Below are 21972 nucleotides of genomic sequence, written 5' to 3' on the forward strand. Positions count from 1 at the left end.
AGATGGAGTCTTGCTTTGTCCCCCAGCCTGCAGTACAGTGGGGCTATCTCCACTCACTGCAACCTCTACCTCCTGGGTTCAAGCAATTCTCACACCTCAGCCTCCCGAGTAGCTGGGATTACAGGCACATGCCACCACACCTGGCTGATTTTTGTGTTTTTAGTAGAGATGAAGTTTCACCATGTTGGCCAGGCTGATCTCAAGCTCCTGACCTCAGGTGATCCACCTTCCTCGGCCTCCCAAAAATACCAGGATTACAGGTGTGAGCCATTGTGCCCAGTCGAAACTCCCGTTTTTAAAACCATCAGAACTCGTGAGACCCGTTCACTATCACAAGAACAGCACAGCAAAGACCCACCCCCATGATTCAATCATCTCCCACCAGGTCTCTCCCACAAGACAAGGGAATTATGGGAGCTACAAGATGAGATTTGGGTGGGGACACAGAGCCAAACCATATCAGCATCTAAGAAAGTAATTCAGAAGAATCTTGAAAATAGTATCAATCATCTTACAAATTATGTCTGCCTGTGGTGGAAGGAAGAGAAGAAGGGAGGAAAGAAGGAAGTATGGGAGAAAGGAATCCATGCCTCATGCCATTTATTATGTTACAGGCCTCTCTCAGCCCTATACCTGCCCCCACTTCACCCCCAAACTATCATCATAGTTGTTCAATTTCTTGCTGATCCTTTTCTTGAATTTTCCAAATTCGCTTCATGTTAGGTTTTCTATTAATGCCTAACAATATAATACCACACTTGACTATCTCCTGCCATCACTAAACATCATCAGTTTCTGCAAATAACAGAGGGATTTTTCTCTTCCACCTACACATAGGATATTTGACTTCCTCCCTCTTTTCCATTTTCTCCCTACAAAGCATAACGTAGGTCGGCCTGGGGCACCAGCAACTATTGAACCCTAACTGAAGTCATCCAGTTTAGACTAAGATAAAATACTTTGTCAAGCTTTCTTATCAAAAGTAGAGAATTAGTGAAAGTCAGGGAAAGAATCAGGGGAAACAAATCATTCCATTCTCTGTGGTAAAGATGACCTAATAAAAGGAAGTTTTTCAAGGCCTCAACTCTATTTTTTAATAATAAGGACAAAAGAGTATTATGTTGTGTCATGCGTCTCCTAGGAGCAAAGAACTATATCCCAAAGCAGTAGAACTATAGAACAGCAAAGACTATTTTCCTAGAACAGAGTTGACTTAATTGTAAGTGCTTCAAAGTATCATATTCACATTAAAATAGACATGAGTGTGTTGTAGAATATAAGATCCACATATTGCTTAAAGATGAAACCTTAGCCTTCTAAGACCTATGTAGATTGCAGAGGCAGTTCCAGGGATCTTCGTCTAGCCCCCTGAGATATAAATTCCCTCCCATTCATTAGGGCACTCCAGTGGAAAAGTTGGAAAGCTTTGCTATGTGGATACTGGAAGATTATGAGATACCTTCAAAAACGCCAACAGAGATTTCTGAATATGTTTGGACACTTTAATATACTCTCCAAATTTACTAATAATATGTGTATTTACCACTAAGCAAGCTATTTCAGGAAAGCAATTACTAATAACTTGAGTAAATATTACTCCACAATTAGAACAGATTGGAAGTTAACTCAGCAGGTGTTCTTCTAAGACTACACATAAAGCATTAATATTCATGCTAATGTCTGGGCTTATCAATTAAAAAATTAATCTGCATGTAGACTACAACTTCATATGTGCTTTAAGAAGTTAGATTTTAACATAACTCCAACTTTTGGCTAAAGTATAAAACCTCTAAAAGGTTATCTTTCATTGAAAAGCCATCAAAAGATAGATCAATTGCTGGTCATTCATTTCAACATGTGAGTCCGCCCAGGGAAGTCCTCTCTGGCACATTGTTACTAGAAATGAACATTAGCCCACTGACAACAGCAATTTGAATTCCACCCCAACTTTCCCCAGCACATTATCTCTACATTGGCAGCAGTATCTTCCTCAAACACAGTTCTAATCTTTTCACGCCCCTTAATCCTAAACTGTACCTGGCTCTCCCTATTGCTTATTCCTGCAGGCCCCTCCCGGTTTGCCATGCCCCATCTCCCACTACCGAAACCCCAGGCAACTCCCAGTAGACTCCCCCTCGGAGAGCCAAGGATGTCGCCCCTCCATGCGTTGCCTCGTTTTCTCTCTTTTGCAGCCTTTCACTCGAGTTTTTGCAACTTTTCACTAGAGGAAAACTTATTACACATGACTAATTAGTGTTGATACTCTCTCTGATAATCAGAACTCTGTCACTCATGTATTTCCAGTTTTGCTCAGATGAAGAGCAAGAGGCCAATTTAAATGTTGAATTATAGCTTAATATGTAGGTCAAGAAGTATGCTTGCATCTCCACTTCCGGGAGATAACGTTCTATGTTAATTCAAATAGCCCTATTGTATGTGTGGCTTTTATTTTGAGTTATCATAGATCATTTTATAAAAGGTGAGAAGTCTAAAAAATAATTCAAAAAATTAGGAGTAACTTTCCCCTTCTTCACTGCTGGATTTTTGAGGCCAATTGAAATGCCATCTCCTCCAGGAAGCAACAGGGATTCCTCCAACTTCAACTTTTCCTTTTATACTGCCAGCACTTTGACCACAGACTTCATATCACATCAATTATACTGTGGTTCCATGATAGTTATCTGTATTCCTCTCTTATTAGCCATATGGAGGGAGGGTTCACGACTTATTCATCTCTGTGTCCCTCCCTGACCCCCTTAACACTTAAAGTTCTGCACTCTGTGTTCAAAAAATGCTTTTCAATTTCTGAAAATGAATTAAGTGTCCCTTATTAACAACCCCAAAGCTTTTTAACAAGCGCATTCCAAATTTTTTTTAAGAAGTTGACTTCTTAGGCTCAAATATTCTCATTTCATCCCTATGCAAATATTTGTATAGGGACCACATTAGAGCTATCTGAAAATAAGAAGTTATAATGGAAACAGTGACACAGCCTTAAGTGAGGCAACCGAAATAGGAACTACTTTAATACTTTTACTGAAATGTTCTCTGCTTGATAAAGTTCATTACCAGAATATCATCTTTAAAAGTGAAATGCATTCAGCTGAGCACTTTTTTTTCATTTTGTAAATAGATTTTTTCCTTGCCTAAGCTCTCAGTATAAAGCACAAAATAGTCTTCCATAACATTAGAAAAATGTCACCCCGCACATAGAGCTGAATTTTTAAAATAAAATAGATTTTTCTTCTTTAGCATTTTAAAGGTACAGCAGTGCCTTCATATAGTGATCATCGGTACTGCATACTATATGAAGGCTGGATCGTCAGCCTGCAATTTGTTATGTTCTAAAATGAGTTGAGATAATATATTAGAGCCTAGAACAAAGTTATAAGTCCCTATGGGATATCCTAAGTCCATAAAGTCACCATCCTTTCAACATTACCCTACTTATTACTCTAGTTATATTTAAAATGACCCTGGTGCTAATCTTTTTCTCACCTATTCAAAATGACATTAAAAAGTAATTATGCACTAAATTTACAGCCCAAATCCCAAAGTTTCCTGTTACATAAAATGAAAGCTTATGTATGGCATAATTGTTTTTATTTTTTTCCTGTTTTTACATTATTAAGTTCTTGATTAGTCTGGGGTATTGTAGCCAAAGTTACCTTACAAAGTAAGTTTCACTCCACTTTAAAATCTCACATGTACCATATTGGGTTTTAGGCATTTCAGTAAGATAAATGGCTTATCACCACCACTGTATCTTGACCAAGCAGTGATAGCAGAAATGAATCTTCAACCAAAGAGCCATTTTTCTAAGAAATGAACATTCATATGTTTAATAATGTCATTTTACAATAAGCATTATATTCTTGCTATTTTCTCCAAAATTCAGAAACAACTGTATGAACCTTCCACCTCTCAGAAATATATCCTTCCTTCCCTCCCCCACCCCAGGCCAGATCTTTTCTCAAGATTGCAAGTTATAGAAAGGCAATTGACCTCAGTAAATTTTTCCACTGGCTTACATTTTTTCTTTCTTTTCTAAGTACTCTTTAGGGGGGAAAAAAAAAGAAAGAAAGATAAACACACTTCGTATAGCAAGTGCCATAAGAAAAATATGTTCTGGCAGACTTTTCCCAACTTGTAACTGAAAAGAATTTACATCATCCAAGTATATTATAAGTACAGAGAGTAAAAGAAAGAAATCTCAAAATAGATTTTTGTTCTACTTTCAAACTCCAAGGCTCAGGGAACACAAGTGTTTCACTTAAGAAATGAATAACAAATGACTTCAGTACACATACACCTTTCTCTTTTTGGAAAAATTGCACATAAAAGAGCATTTTTTGGCACGGCTGACCTGCAGAGATATGGAGCTAAGCAGAGTCATGAATTCACTCACTCTGATATGCACACATGATACGCAATTAAAATCTCCATTCACATTCCTGCCGGGTTGTCAATCATGAGGAAAGCCTTTTTGACAACATTCAGCGAAGCGTACCAACTAACCGCTCAACAGGAACTTAAACAGTAACAGCTTTTGTTACTAGCAAGAACGAATTTTTCACCAAGATTGGGTTCAGTTTCTAAGAAATCATTATGCCCTGAATTTTAGGGCCTTTCATTAAAAATGAAAATGTGTCAAAAAGATTTTGTATGGCAAGCTATGTGATGTCATAACTAGAAAATACAAGATATGTAAAAAATCCTAACCTTTTCAACTGGGTGAATCTTTTAAACTTTTTTTCCCCATTGAGAACAATGAACAATGATCTTATAAAGCAGTTTGCTGGGGGGGGGGGGAACGTGACATTTCTAATTCATTCTGAAGTTTTTCAGTAGAATTTTTAAACTTTTAAAATAGATCAAGGCTCTAAACTCACTTGAAAAGTGACCAACCAATCTATAAACCAGTGGGTAAGTGACTTTTTTAATCATGAAAAGAATATGTAGCATGTTAGAAATATTGCATGCATCAAACCTTTCAATTTATGAAGCTCTGTAGAAAATATTATGCACATAAATTCTTTCCAGATGAACCCAGAAGGTACTCTGCTCATAACTTAGTTTCTGTTGAACATCTAATCAAAGACTGTGCCCTTCATAATAGCATATTAGTGTGCTTTAAAGCCATAAATCCATAAAAACAGGACCCAGTAAAATTGAATACAGGATGCTTGTTAATCTGGTACTGTGTCTGTTTTAAGCAACTAACCTTGGATTACAAATTTGAAACAAGTTAATACTATCAGATGTTGAAATATTTGTCTTCTTACTTATCATGCTCTGTAACTGAGAGAGCAGATGCATCCTGACCATTAACAGTCATGACAAATTGCCTTGCTAATGAATGTTACACACTGAAAGTGCCATAACTGATTAAACTACAATTTCCCACTACCAGATAGAGAGAGAGTTGGGGACTCCAGCAGTGGGTGACTCTGATATTCTGATATTCTGCCAACAGGCCTTTAGGGCACAGTGCGATATTTAGAAAAACATTCTAAATTCCATATGAACGTATTCTGAAAGCCTATGTGTATACAACAGGTTTTTAAAGCATATTAGATAAAACAGCTTAGGTTGTAGCTGATGAGCCATGAAAAATAGATGTGTTTAACTATTTGGTATCCTTGCAAGTATGTGCTAAAGAATATTCTCTGATGTGGGTTTCTCTCGCTCTCTCCTTCCCTTTCCCCGCCCCCAAAACATTGCGTGTGCTTTGCATCTCACATAATCTTTTGTCAGTTCTTTTGTTGGTGCAAAATTGGCAGCAGTTCAAATTCAAAGTACTCCTATTCATTTACTGACCAATGTCATTCTAGTTCACATCAGCCAGAGAGCTAAGCTCTAAAAAACATAAAAGACTTGCTTCACCACTGACGAATAATGTGTACACTTTTACAGAGCTTAAACCTTAATGCTTTCCCTGAAACTAACAATACAGTATATCTTATCATTCCTTTTTCACAAGCAGGCAGCTGCTGAAACGCTTGCCACTTCAAAATATCAATTGCTTGCCAGAGTTGTCCTCAACACACCCTGTCAAATTCACGTATATTGTGCAATGAAAATGGTGCAGGGCTGAAAGCTAGAAATTGTGTCAAATTCTGCTGTAAGGGTATGATGTGCAAAGAACAATGTATGACAACCGTAGAGACTACAAACAATGGCACTGGAGCCACGGACTTCATAGTTCACAACTGCGCCTGTACATATTTTATTGTAGGCATTATATATTTAAAGCATGACAAATGTACCATTGTACATTATGTGCTGCACAAATAGAAGCTCCTCCCACTCATTCGCCTTTTGCATTTCTCTTGATGATGGAAACATAGTTGAGTTTCATTTTTTTCTCTTCTCTTAAAACACTGAAGATTCCTAAATCATAAAGGAAACACACACACACACACACACACACACACACATACACACACAAGGTTATCAAAAGAGTAACAGAAAATAGAAGGCAATAATACAAGATGAGAAAATGAGATCTTGTTCACTTAACATTTTGGCTTCTCTCTGAGGACACAAAAGCAAGGATTACCTTCAATACAAACTGAGGGTATGAAGAGAACTACACCAACACTATGCCTATAAATTGTTGTCTACCTAATTTTAATGCAGATAAGTGCTGGCTTATTGATTTGCACAATTTTCCAGCAAAATGGAAATCCCACGTGAATATGTTCTTTGTGTGCAGAAAATATGGCTTAAGAAGCTTTTACTATTATTGCTTTCTTATGCCAAAAGAACAATTAAGAAAATAATATCTCACCACCATATCAGGTCTACAAACTAACACTGATTAATTTCTTAGATTTTAAATATCCCTTCCCATTTCCTGATTAGCTCTGTTTGCTTTAAATGGGTCTCTGGTTATTGAAAAGTTGTTTTTCTTCTAAACATCTCTTTAAATAACATGTAAAATCTGAAAATATTCTCATTTTGGTACACACCTACTTAATTATAAAGGAGCTCACGGCTATAACAACCCGACACTAATTCAGTCAATGACTGTGGAAATGGAAACATGTTTATGGGAGAAGATTACTATGAATATATATTAATCTCTTCTACGACCTAGCTTAGGTTACAAAACCTTTATCACACAAGTAGCTTGGAGTGGAATTAACTGACTCGAGGCTAAGGAAAATGAACAGATATGTTTTTAAGGTGTTAATAAATATTTTGGAAAGAGAATAGGTGGTTTAGGTGCTTAGGGGTGCTGACCTTTGCTATGTTGATTAGTGGGACAATGATGCATTATTAACACACAGCAGCTGTACCTGAACTGCTGCCATGAATATAATAGCCTTTTATAGCCATCAGGGGAGTGAGGTAGGAGGCCTTTATTAACCACTAGACATGATTAGCACATTATGTGAACTTTACTAGGCAAATTATCTCTTATTGAAATATAATGTTGGTTATAACTAATTGTAAACATGATTTTTAAAACTTCGCAGTGAAAAATTCAAATGTTTTACTACCATTCAGCTCATTATTGGCTGGTAATCGCCGACGAAAACATGGTCTATTTTGTGGGACGTACTTACAGGAGCTGAATCTCAAAAGGCAGATTGTGTCACAGAAGGCTGCCTTTAAAATTATTTAGCATTACAAGTTCAGGGATATTAGCATACATGCAAACTTTCTCTCCCTAATTAAGTAAAAGTGTTCATGAACTAGAAAACCTGCTTTGGGATTTTTCTTTCTTTTCATTTCTTTAAGTAGTTCTTAAAAGATTAGTTTTGCAGTAAATTTTTGAGAGTTACCTTGAAAAATAACAGCATAATTTATTTCAAAAAGCTTAATTTTGGGAGAGGAAAGATTATCCCATTAGCCTTAGTAACTGAACATAGCTCTGAGAGTCCATTATGAACAGTCTTTTATGCCCTGGCAGGAAGTCATTAACATAAAATAAATCATTAGCTTTGATATTAAGCTTCTACTATCTGCAGGTTTCTATGATTAATGTTCATGACTGCATCTGCCAAATGATAAAATACACTTTTTGTTGAAAGGTTATCCTGCCTCTTTATTATTAACATTTCTCTTAATACAATTGTTACTGGCATTTTAGGCTGAGGTGTATTGGTATAGAAAGGAAGCATCGGTGTTTTTCAATGGTATGAAAACACTAATGCGTATAACACTTTACCCATCATTTTTTAAATTAACCATTTAATTGAGTTAACAGACTTAAGGAAATCAGGCAGTGCTTTAGGCCCAGTTGGCCCATTCGTTAATTAATCTTGCACATTATATTTCACATCTCTGACCCATATATCAGAGGAAGGTATAGAGAGGTAAACTTGCTTCTCTGAAGTCAGGAACAAGAGGGCATTTCCCTCTTTCACAGTTATTCTCCACTTTTATCTTCTTACAGTGCAAAACAGACAACAGCCCTCATAATAGCATCTCTCCTTAGGTGCACTGACTCTTAATGTGGAGAGGGAAAAAGAGGCCCCCCGGGGGGCCTATCAATATCTGAGGGAGGGAGATTACACACTGTACCTACAGAGACCCCATTTTCCCAATTCACCTTTGACTCTCCGGAAAGGTTATCTCTTTGACTCTCTTCCTGAAAGAACCACTAGTCTACAACTTTCCAAAACACTTTTATTCCACTAGGGCAGCAGAAATGGAAGAAATGGGCTGAGAATGCAGTATTTTGCTGAATTCTTTGAATTTTTGAACATCTTTCACCACAAGATTTGAAATAATCTACCTACTTAATTCTCATAAGTCTTCTTTGATACAAATATATTTTCTCTACTGGATATATGGAAGACTGGAACACAGATGGATTAAAGGTTTTAGTGTCAGAACTTTTACCAGACACAGAACAAAGTCAGGCTTCTCAAGAGAATGGGAAACAGAGTGGGAGGGAATCACATCCTCTTATGGTTAGGTTTATTTTGCCTAGGGAGTAAGTCAACATAGACTTAACGGCACTTGGTTTTTATCTCAAATATTCAACATAATGGAGTCTTTCCCTGAGAAAGGCCTATGGTTTTCCTTAAAAAGACCTGGTTCTTTAGTCTTATTAGGATATAACATGTCTGTTTAAAGCCCTAAGATTCTCAACAGCATCTTCTCCTGTGAAATATTGCTGAGTATCTTAAAAGGGAGTGGTAACCAGGCATTCCCAGTAGTCATGATGTTTTTCCTTTGTTGCTGCTGTTATACACATTGAGGAAGTCTGCCATTTAGGATAAATCTTCATGCATTTATGGCCAGAAATATTCCAGAACCATGAGAAACACAAACACACACACACATGCAAATACACATGCACACACAAATCCACCCCCACACACCCATACACATGCACATACCCATACACACACCAATGTTTCTAGCTCGGTAACCCCAACCCCAAAGTGGCATCAAAGACTTCAATCAAAAGGCATTTTAGCCAAAAGCTAGTATCATCACTACTGTGGATCAGACAAATAACGTGTAAGACCACATGGCACCCAAAATACATTCTATTTTCTTGGCCACTGGCAAAGCTTCTTATCAACCAACCATGGCCTCCTTTAATTAGGAGTCCTTTCCAGACAGTTTCATAAAAGCACATAATTCAGGAATGAAAAACGATAAATACTTGGCTAAAGCAGAACCATTTAAATCTCCCAAGCAAAAAACAAACAAACAGAAAAAAGCATTAATAGTGACCCTGGTTTCATGACCTTTGATATTATAAATATATATCAGTGATGATTTTTTCATGAGTAACATGGAAATCTGAAAATAGCTTTTAAAATTTAACTTTAAAATTTTTATCAAGTGAGGCAAACTTGCCATAGATCAAACTAAAGAAGTGTGGGAAATAGTGATACCTCCCATCAGGAAAGAGCAAGGAGTTTCTGGAATTACCCTCCCTTCTCGTCTTTTCTGCTGCACCGTCAACATCGAAGCACAGAGTAATATAATGTTCCCATTTTCAAAATGAATGCTGTAGGGAGAAACATGTTATAACCAGGAAAAGCTCATTCAGGTTAATGTGAATTCCATGTCTCAAAGTATTATGGAAGAACTGCTATAATTAACAGTCTGTTGGCACTTCCATTATAAACCACATTTCTAAGCAGTTTATAACTCAACTGTTTTTAATCAGAAATTGCTCTTTGGGATGAAACTTGGCATGCAAGGTTTAAAACAAAAAATTCTCAAATTCATTAGGGCATATGTAAGCGGTATCATCTTGGCACTGTAGTTTCCTAGTGGACAGCCCATTTAACACAATTCGTTATCAATCAGGGGAGACCAGCCTATCTAGTTCTGAAAAGTGCATATTCAAAGAAAAAGATGAATTGAAAATACATCAATAACTCTGAGGTGGAAGTAAATGAAAAGGGAAAAAAGCATGTCTAAAATTGGTAAAATTAATACCTTGGGTAAACATGCAATTTAAACAAATAAGGGAGCGTTCCAGCTTCTAAGATGTCTCAAACAGAAGCTTCTTGAGGGCAAGAACTACAGTTAGGATCATGAGAGCCACAGTGTCTAATAACTATGATGTGCTACAATCTTGTTTTCTGATAAAAGTATGAATTTTATATTCTTGTATTTGGATGTACACAATATGTTTTATTCTAAACAACAAGTGATCATATTTTTACAATGTAATTGTTAATAGCATACAATCAACTCATGATAATTACATTTTTATTGACATGTAAGATAACTATCCTACCTATGACTTCTCAGAAATCTTGAGATTCACACTCAGATAGCTAAAATGTAGGGTGGTAAGTGATCTAAATTTGATTAATTGATTCAGTTCTACATGGCCAAACATTCCTGTTCTAGTTATCTATGTATATTCTGATGAGAATACATCCACATGCTAACCCCTGTTACTTACCTCAAGTGTAACCCAACCTAATTTACTGTATTCCAACTGAAGATCACAGTCCCATCTTCATACTATTTTGGAATCTAAACATAGCCTTCTCACTGAGGAAGGATGTTTAAGGGGCTTATCTCTGAGCTCTAAATACACTGCATAAAATGGTAGGGGGTGTGGAAGGGACACTATGATAGCTTAGAAATATCAGTCATAGTTATTTTTCCTCTCAGCATCACATGAAGGTTGTCTTACTCTAGTACAATATTGTATAACTCCACATCATCCATTCAGGTAGGGGGGATGGGGAAAGGAAAACAGCATAATTTGGGATTTCAAAAAGCAGATACAAGCCTGAGGGCTGGTAGATTCCAAATAGAAAATGGAATCAGGTTACTGCAAGAATGGATATGTTCGCATGATTATGGTGATGATGAAGGAAGGTAAGCTGAAGAGGGAGCCAGGCAGCCGAGGCAACCACAATGGTGATTAGTATCCAGTGGAGAAGAGAGTTCAGATTAGAAGTACAGACCTCCTAGGTTCAAATTAAGATTGGGGAGGAGACTAGCAAAAGCAAGGGTGGTCCCAGGAGTTGGAGTGGCTGGGAAATGGGTAACTGGGAAGGAGATGGAGAGGTGGGAGGTAAGAGGCGCTGGGCATACTGGTAGACCTGCGACTGAGGGCTGGCTTTAAAACAGAATAGGAAGAATCATCAGTATTTGAGAAACACCCGCAGGGTCTTTTGAAGTTTCTAATGTCCTAGCAAAAGTTTAGAAAGCATTATAATAAATCACCCTTCACAGCTAAATAAAATCACTGTGCTCCCCACTACCTTCGTCATTTTCTAGGCCAACCCTCTTGAATGGAGCCCATCACAAAAAACGTATGACCACTAGAAATAGTCTCACATACCAAAACCAACATTTGAGAACCAGGTTGGTACCCAGGAAACCACCCCTAAAACTGGAAATTTCCCTACTTCTTCCTGTTCCACTGTTCTTAATTCCCTTGCAATCACATCATTTAAACAAAATCCACAATAATCATTCAATTAGATATTTACATATTAGTTTAGTTTTTGTAACTAAGCAAAATACCAAAATTCTCCTTAATATCATTTACTAACTTTTAAAATATATGATAAACTGTGAGAATACTAAACTACCTATGCAATGTTAAAAATAACATCAGATCCCTCTATAGCTCATACTTATAACTTTGTTTGCATAGACATTTAAAATTGAATTTGCAATACTGAAATAACCCACACAGTCAAGATAGCTACATTTGAAACTTTTCTATAATATCTGATTTAGTGGCCAAAAAACCATGATTGCTTGGTTTATGCTCTTTCTTACATAGGCATTTATTTAAAACATATTTAACAACCTGAAAACTTCTGAAAAGTGCCAGCTGATAAAACTCCCAGGGGAATTTTAATTATATATATGTGATGTATGAATTATCAACTATGAATTTCCCAAAGTCCTAGAAGTTATGGAGGTGGATGAAGAACTAATCAAGCATGATGCTCTAAACTGCTTATAACCCTCCCTTCTTTACCTTCTTTCTTCCCATACTCCTCCTTGACCTACTCTTCCTCCCATCTTTTCCTTTTTCTTACATTTACTGTTCAAAATAGGAATAATGACTCCTTCTTAATGTGCTTACAAATCCTGTATTTTTGATGAGTATTGCCACATTAAAGTATAATACATAATACATTTTAAATAGAAAATAAGCTCAAAGGAGATTTTGCAGAGACTGTAATGAATCTCGTTATTCTTAAAAGTTATCAAATGTCTAATGTTTGTCCTGACATTTTCAAGCAGAGTTCATCACAAATGGGTCCTTCCTTGTGCGTTTTTACGAAAAAGAACATATACACTGTCCTTCCTCATTTCAATGATAAAAGCTGAATATTCCAAATGCCCACTATTCTTCACTCTGTATATCACCAGCATGAAGCATGGGTTTGTGTTTTGGACTTCCCTGTTTCTAAATCAACCAAAGAAAGATTCAGGACATGATTCCATAAAGGCAACCACTGAGAACAGTGAAGCCCATTATTTCTCCTCCCACTGCAGGCCGAGGTCACCATCCCTGTCATTAGCCATGTCATAACATAATTGTATTACTACTCCTTATGTGGGCAGATACTGAGCAATAACTGAACACATCACATCGTTGTAAAAATGAAAAAGTACCACTTCTTTGTCCTATCTTAGCATAAAACCAGTGAAAACAATCTTTGGAAATGACGCTGCACTAAGAAACTGAAAAGAACTGTTATTACTCTGTAGGTATATATTTAAACTGATGATCTGACATCTTTAACTAGAATAGAAAACAAGACTATATCACTACAGAACTCCAATTGTAAGCTCATTTAATCCAATTTATTTTGGTAGCATTCAGCTCAATTAAGGGATACAATGTTACTTAAAATAGTCTAATTAGATGAAACTCCACTATGGTACTCATCTTTCAATGTCTGAAATATAACCATGCATTAGGCTGCAAGAGGTGAATACTGTTAACTCCAGCCTCCATGTGTCTGTCCAGTCTATGAGCTACACTGCTATTTCCAACACTGACCTATATACAGCAACATGCCATCCGTTCTGGCTGTTTGTGTAAGAGATGCCTCACACACTTGCCTTAACCAACATCATTCGCATTGTTCCCACAATGGGCTATGTGAAAATGGAGGCTACTTTGCATAGTGATATGTTCATAACGTGTATTAGTCTTACAGTAGAGCAATACTAGATTAAACCGTTTCCAAAAATGCCTCCTCCAGAGTTTATTAACTGAAAAATGTAAGTAGCATTTTGGCAATCTATAGAGCAGCAGTGCCGGAAAGTGTCAGCAGAGTAAAACAATCACATTTTAGTTTAGAAAGCTTCAGGAAGAGAATATTCATTTTCTCCATTAGAGTCTCTTCTGACATTGAAAAAAATGTCACCGGGAAACTGTAGCTACAGTTGTAGGATTCTAAAGCACAGATAGATACTGGTTCCGCTGGGATTTAGCACACCAACTTTAAATAAGCAAAGTGTTGACAGGTTTAAAATAAAGATAATTAGTAATTTATGATCTTATCACCCTATTAAAAACAAATCACCTGACAAACTGACTGCTATTTGTAGTAAGCTACATATTCATTACGCCTCCGAAGGAAGCAAGATTTACTTTGCAGTATTGTTCTTTTGGGGATGTCTGATCCAACTTGTTTTAATAAATGTAGGCACAGATTTCTTACTTCACCTTTTCCAAACTTCTGTCCTTCTTCCATTTCCCTGCAAATCCACTCATGTCATTGCAAAAACAAATGCTAGTTGACTGCATTATGCACAACTACAATTGTGGAGCTGGACAGAAATTTTGTACCAATGCTAATCATGGTGGAGTGAAAAAACTCAAGTGCCTGGGATTTGTGGGGCCTAGAAAACTATCCAGTACATTTAATATAATCGGGACCAGTGACAAATATATCTGATGGACTGCTACACAGAGATGGGCCAGAGATGTCCCTGGAGAAACATTTCCATGAAGTCTTCTTCCACTATTAGAAACATGTCTTATGACTTTGGATTTTAAAAAATCTATTATTCTCTGGATAAGTTAAATAGAAGACTCGCAACTAGTCTACAGAAAGGGTGCCTAATTTGCATTTAAAAAGAACAGTTTGCTTCTTATACACGGGGTGACTTAAAAGGAACTTCAATGAGCTAGTAAAGAAATTCTGAATACTTTCTAAATTAATTTATTCAATTCACAGCACAACCCACTAAAATTATTTAAAGCACTTAATTGGAAAATGATTTAATATATTGAAGTAATTCCTGATTTTCCAAAGCATTTAACTTTTAAATTAAATCTGACCCTACTTATCACAAGAACGAGGAGTGAAATGTGTATCCAAGTCATTAACTTCTTTTTGGGGCCTAAAATCACTGATAAACTTAATAAGATTTGTCCAGTCTCATTGCCAAAATAGTTCTGAGCTTTTGGTTCCGGTAACTACAGTGGAATAAGTCTTTACTCTCCAAGATAGGGCTGCAACTTTATTATTTTTTATTAGCAATAGTATTGGTGTCATAAGCAAAATAAAACGTAACACAATACTTGAGTGTACAGACAAAACAGATTTTAGACTAAAAGAACTATGTCACCAGCAAATAATGAAACTTCATCACACAAACTCCTATGCGCTTGCCAAAGTTCCCCGTACCTTTCAACTTGCCCGTAGCTGAAGGGCTCCCTGTACAATGGAAGCCCTTCTGCCTTGCTCAAGACTGGATGTCCCTCTTTTCTAACTTGCCTAAACACCATCGGCACACAGCACAGTCCTTTGAGTGGGTCTCACACTGGACACAGCATCGAGGAGCTTCTCCACGGGGAAGTGTGTGTGTGAGAGCCTGCCTGTGTGTCAACACTGTCCAAGACTCGGAGCTGCGACTCGGTCGCGTGGTGCGGAGTCCAGGGCTGAGAAGGCAGCGCACTAAATATCTCTGTATCAGGTAAAAAAGCCGTTTGGTGATGACTCGCCACCAGGCAAATGTTGGGAGTCCCAACGATTTTTCCCGTGGAATGCACCGAGGGTCGCCATGGATGTGCCTGCAGGGGCTGTGAGTATCAGGCAGATTTATCACCAAGCGAGAGTTGGGCGTCTAAAAGGCCCGCCCAGCGTTTTAGAGAACTCAATTCTCTCTGCCAACGTTCATCCAACGGGACTGCTTAGACACGTCCAACTAGCCCTAGGCGTGGGCAGTCGTGCCCCTGCGACCACTCTGGGGGACCGGTCCCTGCGTGTCCTCCCTCTCTGGGATGAGAGAGTTCGAGAAGCCGGGAGAGTAACCCCCTCCCTCGTACCCCCTGACTGTCCTATAGGTGGACCCAGCCGAACTCCGCAGCAGCCCAGGCCAGCGCCCCACCTCCGGGTCACCGGCATGATCCGCCTCTCCCCGGGCCCCCGCGGCCCTGGCACCCGAGGTCAGCGGGCCGTGGGTACAGCTCAGCCGCGGACCCTGCTCCGCGAGTGCGGGAGCTTTGGACTTGAACGCGACGTGCTCGCCCGGCTCCCAACAAACTTGCAATTTCCGCGCGCACCCCTTAAACAGGAACTGTTCCCCAAACCTTGACCCAGCTACCCCGCTGTGCTCTGGCCCGCGGACCTGTGTCCGAACCCGGGCTCGGCTGCCGGAACCGGTTTGAGAAAACAAAAGAGTTGTGGGGCAGTTTTCCCTGTGGGGGGCAGGGGCGCCTCCCAGGTCCCTGCACCCCGACTCCCGGCTGCTCCCCTGGCAACTAATCCGGAGAAGGGAAGTGGTGCCACGAGCCCCCACTGCCCGGGGAGGGAGGGAGAGAGAAGGGGGAACTGGGAAATAAACTGAATTCTCTTACTCTGCCTCCGTTCCTGGACCCCAGACACACCCCCAAAGTATTCCACGGTTTTCTCTTATTATTTTTTTAAACGCCCCCCGGCAAACCTAGGCAGGGATCCTTAGCCGCGAACAGCAGGAAGGAAAGAATCCGAGCAAATCGTGTCACTTTCCGCACAATCGCGGTGTTTGGCAAGCCCCCGGAGCTACTCCACAATATTTACTACCCAAGCGCACGCAGGCTGCAGCGGGCTGCGAGCCGAGCGCGCCCGGGACCGGCCTCCGCCAAGCCGGCCCCGCCGCGGCCCGGCCACCGCCGCTCCCCTCCCAGGATCAAGCAGCAAGAACACGGTGGAAACAAAAGCAGAGCGTTCACCTTGTTGCAATAGTAGGGGTCCAGGCAGGGAGAAGGTCCCAGACAGGGAGCGTCGGGCGCAGCGGCGGGCTGGGCTGGAGGTGGATAAAATCTTACGTCCATTTCACTCTCACATCAAGCAACTCCTTTTCTTTTTCCTTTTTTAAAAAAAAGTGTTCAGCAAAACAAGCTTAGACGGAACAGAGTGAGGTGTCTGGGCTCAGGAGTAAAAGAAACACCTTCCTTCCCTCACATCCGTTTGTGGTTTGTTTAAGAAGAAGAGGAAAAAAAAAAAAAAGAGGGGGGAAAAGCGCTCAACTCTCCCCCAAGCCGCGGCGCGCACCCGTCGGCGCCGAGCGCGCAGCCTGCTCCACCGCCGCCTCTTGGTCCCGCCGCCGCCGCTGCCGCCGCCGCCGGGCAGGTAACTTCATGCGCTCATTGTCCCCCCCGCCCGCCCCCCCATCCCCGCCTCCCGCGCCCCTCGCAGCCCGGCACACGCGCTCGGGCTCTAGGTACTGGGCGTTTTATTGGAGATTCTGAGTTGTTCTGCTTGTAGTTTATTTTCTCCACCTTGGAGGCCCGGGATGTGGGGGGTGGGGGGGTGGGGCGGGGATCCAGAAGGGACAGGGCGGGAGGGGGGCGAGCGTCCCGGGCCGGGCGGGGTAGGGAGCGCGGCCGGACGCGGGCTCGTCAAGGCCCAATGGCTGCTGTTCGGAACCAGAGGCCGGGGACCGGAGAAAGGAGGAGCGGAGAAGGAGAAGGAGGAGAGCACGGCCTGGCTGGGACAGAAGCGGTGGGACCCTGGGAGGCCTCCGCTGTGCCCGTGCCGCGCTCCTCGGGACCAGCGCGTCGCACACAAAGGGGCTGCCGAGCCAGAGCCACCAGCGGCCTCAGGGCACCGTGGGGAGCGCGCAGCTAGGGGGCGCTGTGGCGCACCCCGCCCCGCAGCCCCGCCCCCGGCCCTCCCCGGCCCCACCCCACTCCCACCGCCCTCTCCGCGGCCGTCCCCACCCCTATCTCCGCGACCCCCACTCCTCCTCGGCTGTTCCCCAACCCTGTCACTGTGCTCCCCTCCCTACTCCCGGCCCGTAGTGGAGGTGACTTTCCTGCGCAGCGCCGCTTCTGAGGGCGGAGAACCCACAGGGAGTGCGACCCCTTTGCACGCTGTGAGTGGGCAACTGTCCGAGGGACTCGAGCCGATCGAAGGGTGAGGACCAGCTCGCCTGGGGGTGGACGGCCTGGAAAAGCCGCCCCTCTTTGGCTTCCCTCTGCCGCCTGCAGCCCGCACCCCTCCGAGATTCGTGCCCCACTGGACGGTTTGCGAAGGCTGAGGCTGCCTTGGGGACTCACAAAAGACCACAGGGGTGATTCGAAGTGTAAATAGGGAAACAATCATCAGCACACAATCCGGCTAAAGGGATAACATATGAGTTTGCTTGTTGTCCTTCATGGGATTCTTCTCTTTTTATAGCTGGACGCCCTATAGGGCTCTTGGCAGTCCACGAAAGACCTGGAGTCCGCCTCCCCATTTCTCCGGTCGGTGAGTGGCAGGAGGAAATCGCCAAACATGTTTTCCCGCTTTGCCTCCCCAACTCGGAAACTTGCAACTTGCCGTGTCCTGGAGGTTGAGACAATTTGGGGTCTCTTGGCTGCCGTCCAACAGATTTATCTCTGAGGGCAGTGTCCTTGGTGAGAGGTCCAAGTAGGTGTGGGCGACATTGTCCTCCATCTCATGAGGGAGCAGCCCTGCACACTAGGGCCCAAAACTCTGCGAAGGAGCTTGGAAGTTCTTCATCCGTTCCACTTGTTTTGCTACTCCACACACCCTTCTAGGACATGTTGATTGCCAACTGCTCTGTGCAGCTTTCCCATAGCTGTCTGTTCCCGTGCATTTCGGAGCACCAAGCAAATACGAGCAGAGAGACCTGGAAAAAAAAATGATGAAGACAGTATTAATGATAAAATTAACATGGCTGAGTGAATTGTCAATGCAAGTTCCTTTACTAACTCTTTGTTAAGTTTTGCTTTGTACTCCTTACATCCTCTTTCTCTTAAGCCATTGTTTTAATTTCTTCTCGTTATCATTTTTAAAAGTAACAGAAATACAGCTTTCTTCCTACCTTCACGATTGACTTGGTGGAGGTTGGGTTGCAAAGAGGAAGCAGTAAGAAAAAATAATTATTCTATACATTCACAAGTCCTTCAAGGCACAAAATAAAAGTAAGAAATAGAAAATATGTCCTTTCTCCTAATAAAGGTCTTTATAATAAAATTTAAATGAAGTTTTGTGTTTCATAACAGCTTCCCAAATACTGTTGTAGATACTAAAATGTGCCTGTATGTATTTCCTTCCACAATAATAATAGTAATAATAAACTTTTTTAGGTCCAAATTAAACATTTCTCAGCTTAAATTTCTATCCTCAATCCAACATTTATTATATCAAAACTTGATTTTTAAAAATAAAACTTTCTTGGAATTCATCATTGATGTCTGTTTGATGGCCTCGTGAACATCAGGAAGATGAAATGAAATGGTTCAAGACTGGAACAATACCATTATCTGCATCTTGACTCCTGGGAGATAATGATATCTCCTGCTTTCCTCTACAGACCTACCAGTTTTCTCTGCTTTAAGGGAAAATCCAAATGCATGAGACCTGTGCATTCTTCTACATAATCAAGAGTCTGGTTTCTTCCATCGGAGTGTATGGAGTTAAAGTGGTATACTGTACATGGCATGGTGTGATAGGTGGGAATATGAGCTACTGGGGGAAAAAGTTCTTACTTCTAGCCACTTATACAAAGAGAGGCCATCTCAGTGTAATCTGAAAAAATGCTCACTTTATAATGCTGTATCCAAGGCCCATCAAAAACTAAATGGATGTATTTGTACTAAAAGTTGGGGAAAGTTGAATATCTAAACCTCTGAGCAAATCTTTCTTAATTTAGAAAATAAAATAGAGCATCATTGTAATACTTTTCAGTTTCCTGGACATTCAACTCCACATCATGGATAAATAAAATAGTTATTTGTCCATTCACTCATTCATTTGTACATTAATCAACAGAGAGAGTGGTGAAAAACACTAATGCTTTGTATTATTTATAGGTTTAAAATACAAAACAAATTACTTAAAATGGTTCCTGCTCTAGATGTAGTCTTTCAGAGTAGTATTTTCCAAACTAGTCTGGTCAGTGAAGTCATCTTAGCAGTTTAGAAAAATACTCATGCCAGAGCCCCACACGCACAGATTCTGATTCAGTTCTTTTCAGGTAGGGCCTGAGCACAGGAATTTTTAAAAGCTCTCCAGTGGCTTTAATTTTCAGAAAAGATTGAGAACCACTGGCCTAAAAGGAAAGATAAGGTAGTCTAGAAGGAAAGAGTCCTTAACAAAGGAAATGTTAAAAGTATGAAATTTTAGTAGATAGGCTGGATTGTCATTTTGTGTTGATCCCCATAAGAGGACATTGAGGATCACCACTCCCAAAACCTCATCACCTACGCTGCCTTTTAGAGATGGAGTTGGCAATTTGCCCATTTACTGTCAGTAAACTTGCATGACTTGTAAAGGTCCAGGTTACAGTTTATTCACCTGACCTAGGAACTTTATGTACTCTAGTTACCAGAAAATGAGTGCCTGTAAACAAAACGTGTCTTTACCAGTGCTGATGTAATGCTATCAGTACCTACTTGTGAAATGCCTACTATATCGTGGACCTGGTCCTAATTTCTTTACATTGAATTTCGCAGTCTTATTTAATTTTCCAGATTACTTTGGAAAGCCTCATCAGTAATTACAAACCACACGGAGCATTTGATTTTGTTCCCTCAACATTGCCCATCTTCACTTTAATTATAGTTTCACAAATTGTTACGTTTTCAAATTTATACTTGTTTTCAGTGACCACATTTTATGTCTACTGATTCTTTGTATTATGTAGGTTAAGTCCTAAATCTTGTAGTAATGTCTCCAAATCACATACAGAATGTGTTACTTTGGGGAAAATAGCTTTTAGACAGTTAATCCTATCTGTGATTTACAAGAGTCTTATAAAAATTATTCAACAAACCATGGTACTTCCTGGCAGGCATTCTTTGCTAGATTTTGGAGTTAGTTTTTCTTCAAGGGTTGAAGCCCTCTATAGATGCACATGAGAATGAAATGTCATATAGAGGGGTTGATTTTGAAATGCCAGATATTAAAACTAAAATCAAAGCCTGCCGTATTGTATAACTAAATTAATATTTAGCCCTTCACTGGCCTTTCTGATTTATGGGCTAGTTTTCCAGTGACAGCTGATGTCGCAATATTTCTAGGGAAAAGAAAGCCTCATTCTTTTAAAATACCATTCATTTTATACCTCATATGGCCCACCTAGGATTTTAAGCCCTCATTGGACATGTGTATACCCAATGAGGTTACATGGTGAAGTAGCTATTTGTTTCCTTAGAATCTAGCCAATCCTGAGTGCTATACATTTTAAATTCAAAAGGACATCATTAATGGTTTTCATGGGAAATGTTTACATGTTCTCAATTTACCAGTTAGCATTTACTGTTGTCCAGGGTTATTTAACATTTTTCTAAAGTAATTTAAATGTAAAATGGAATGATATGCAATAAGTAATATCTTTCAATGGAAGAATGCAGAGTACTGAAGTTTATTTCCTGGGGAGACTAGTGAGAAATGACTAGATTGTAAGTCTTTCTACCAGAAAATAAAGGATTTCAGAATGATGAGGAAAGTTTGAGGGAAATGAAACAGGTCCACAGATAGCTCACATGGTACTAAATGACTCATAAAATGCAGTATTTTTTACATAATTTGGGAAGTGTGCCATGCTTGTACATCTCACCATTGAGTGTGGTACAGTACTTTGATCTTCAACAATACACAACATTTGTGACATAATAGCTATAATAGGACTATTCAGCTATTTTACACGGCAATAATCCAGTCCTCTCTCATCAGGATAAACTATGAGGACAAATCCTTTCAAAATCAGAATTAGTTCCTTGTAGAAGAGTGAGGCTACAATTATCCCTTAAATAGGAGCAGCTGCAACATGGTATCGGCCTGGAGCATGGCAGTGAAGTGTTTTTCCAATGCAATTAAATGGATTTTTTAATGCAAACTAATATTCTATAAAAAGTCAATTGGTAGGGGAGTAAGTGTGGAATTGCTGAGATGAAAGAAACAATCATTTTGCTTACCTGAGTTAATATTCCTGCCTTAGTAAATGATATTTTGGTAAGAATGGATAATCAAGGCTCATATTTTCCTGTGAAGTGGGGCCCAAAAGAAAACCAGAGTAATACAAAGGAAAGATAATTCTGGTTTATTTGTACAC

The 21972-nt window shown here is 40.2% G+C and overlaps 1 protein-coding gene and 1 long non-coding RNA gene across 3 annotated transcripts in view, besides 3 other annotated features; one reads left to right on the top strand and one right to left on the bottom strand.

Moving 5' to 3' along the window:
• TOX (thymocyte selection associated high mobility group box) overlaps positions 1-16901 on the bottom strand; it is a 313736-nt gene extending 296835 nt beyond the window's left edge. Inside the window, exon 1 of the mRNA NM_014729.3 lies at positions 16640-16901. Coding sequence (NP_055544.1) covers positions 16640-16741 — 102 coding nt within the window. The 5' untranslated portion in view covers positions 16742-16901. The remainder of the gene's footprint in view (positions 1-16639) is intronic.
• Positions 7000-7669: an enhancer, noted in NCBI's record as "OCT4-NANOG hESC enhancer chr8:60021805-60022474 (GRCh37/hg19 assembly coordinates)". NCBI's record gives its function as "activates a minimal SCP1, AML or CMV promoter by ChIP-STARR-seq in naive H9 embryonic stem cells {active_cell/tissue: H9 hESC(naive)}" and the evidence as "EXISTENCE:reporter gene assay evidence [ECO:0000049][PMID:30033119]".
• Positions 13538-13587: a silencer, noted in NCBI's record as "silent region_19220". NCBI's record gives its function as "represses an Ori minimal core promoter by ATAC-STARR-seq in GM12878 lymphoblastoid cells {active_cell/tissue: GM12878}" and the evidence as "EXISTENCE:reporter gene assay evidence [ECO:0000049][PMID:35858748]".
• TOX-DT (TOX divergent transcript) lies at positions 16964-21232 on the top strand. 2 transcript variants are annotated; one of them, NR_149031.1, is made up of 3 exons: positions 16964-17039; positions 17711-17825; positions 18090-21232. It is a non-coding gene; the product is annotated as a TOX divergent transcript (long non-coding RNA). The 2 variants fall into 2 exon arrangements; NR_149030.1 differs by lacking the exon at positions 17711-17825.
• Positions 17426-17645: a silencer, noted in NCBI's record as "silent region_19221". NCBI's record gives its function as "represses an Ori minimal core promoter by ATAC-STARR-seq in GM12878 lymphoblastoid cells {active_cell/tissue: GM12878}" and the evidence as "EXISTENCE:reporter gene assay evidence [ECO:0000049][PMID:35858748]".

Source organism: Homo sapiens, chromosome 8 (assembly GCF_000001405.40).
Source record: "Homo sapiens chromosome 8, GRCh38.p14 Primary Assembly".
Lineage (NCBI taxonomy): Eukaryota > Metazoa > Chordata > Mammalia > Primates > Hominidae > Homo > Homo sapiens.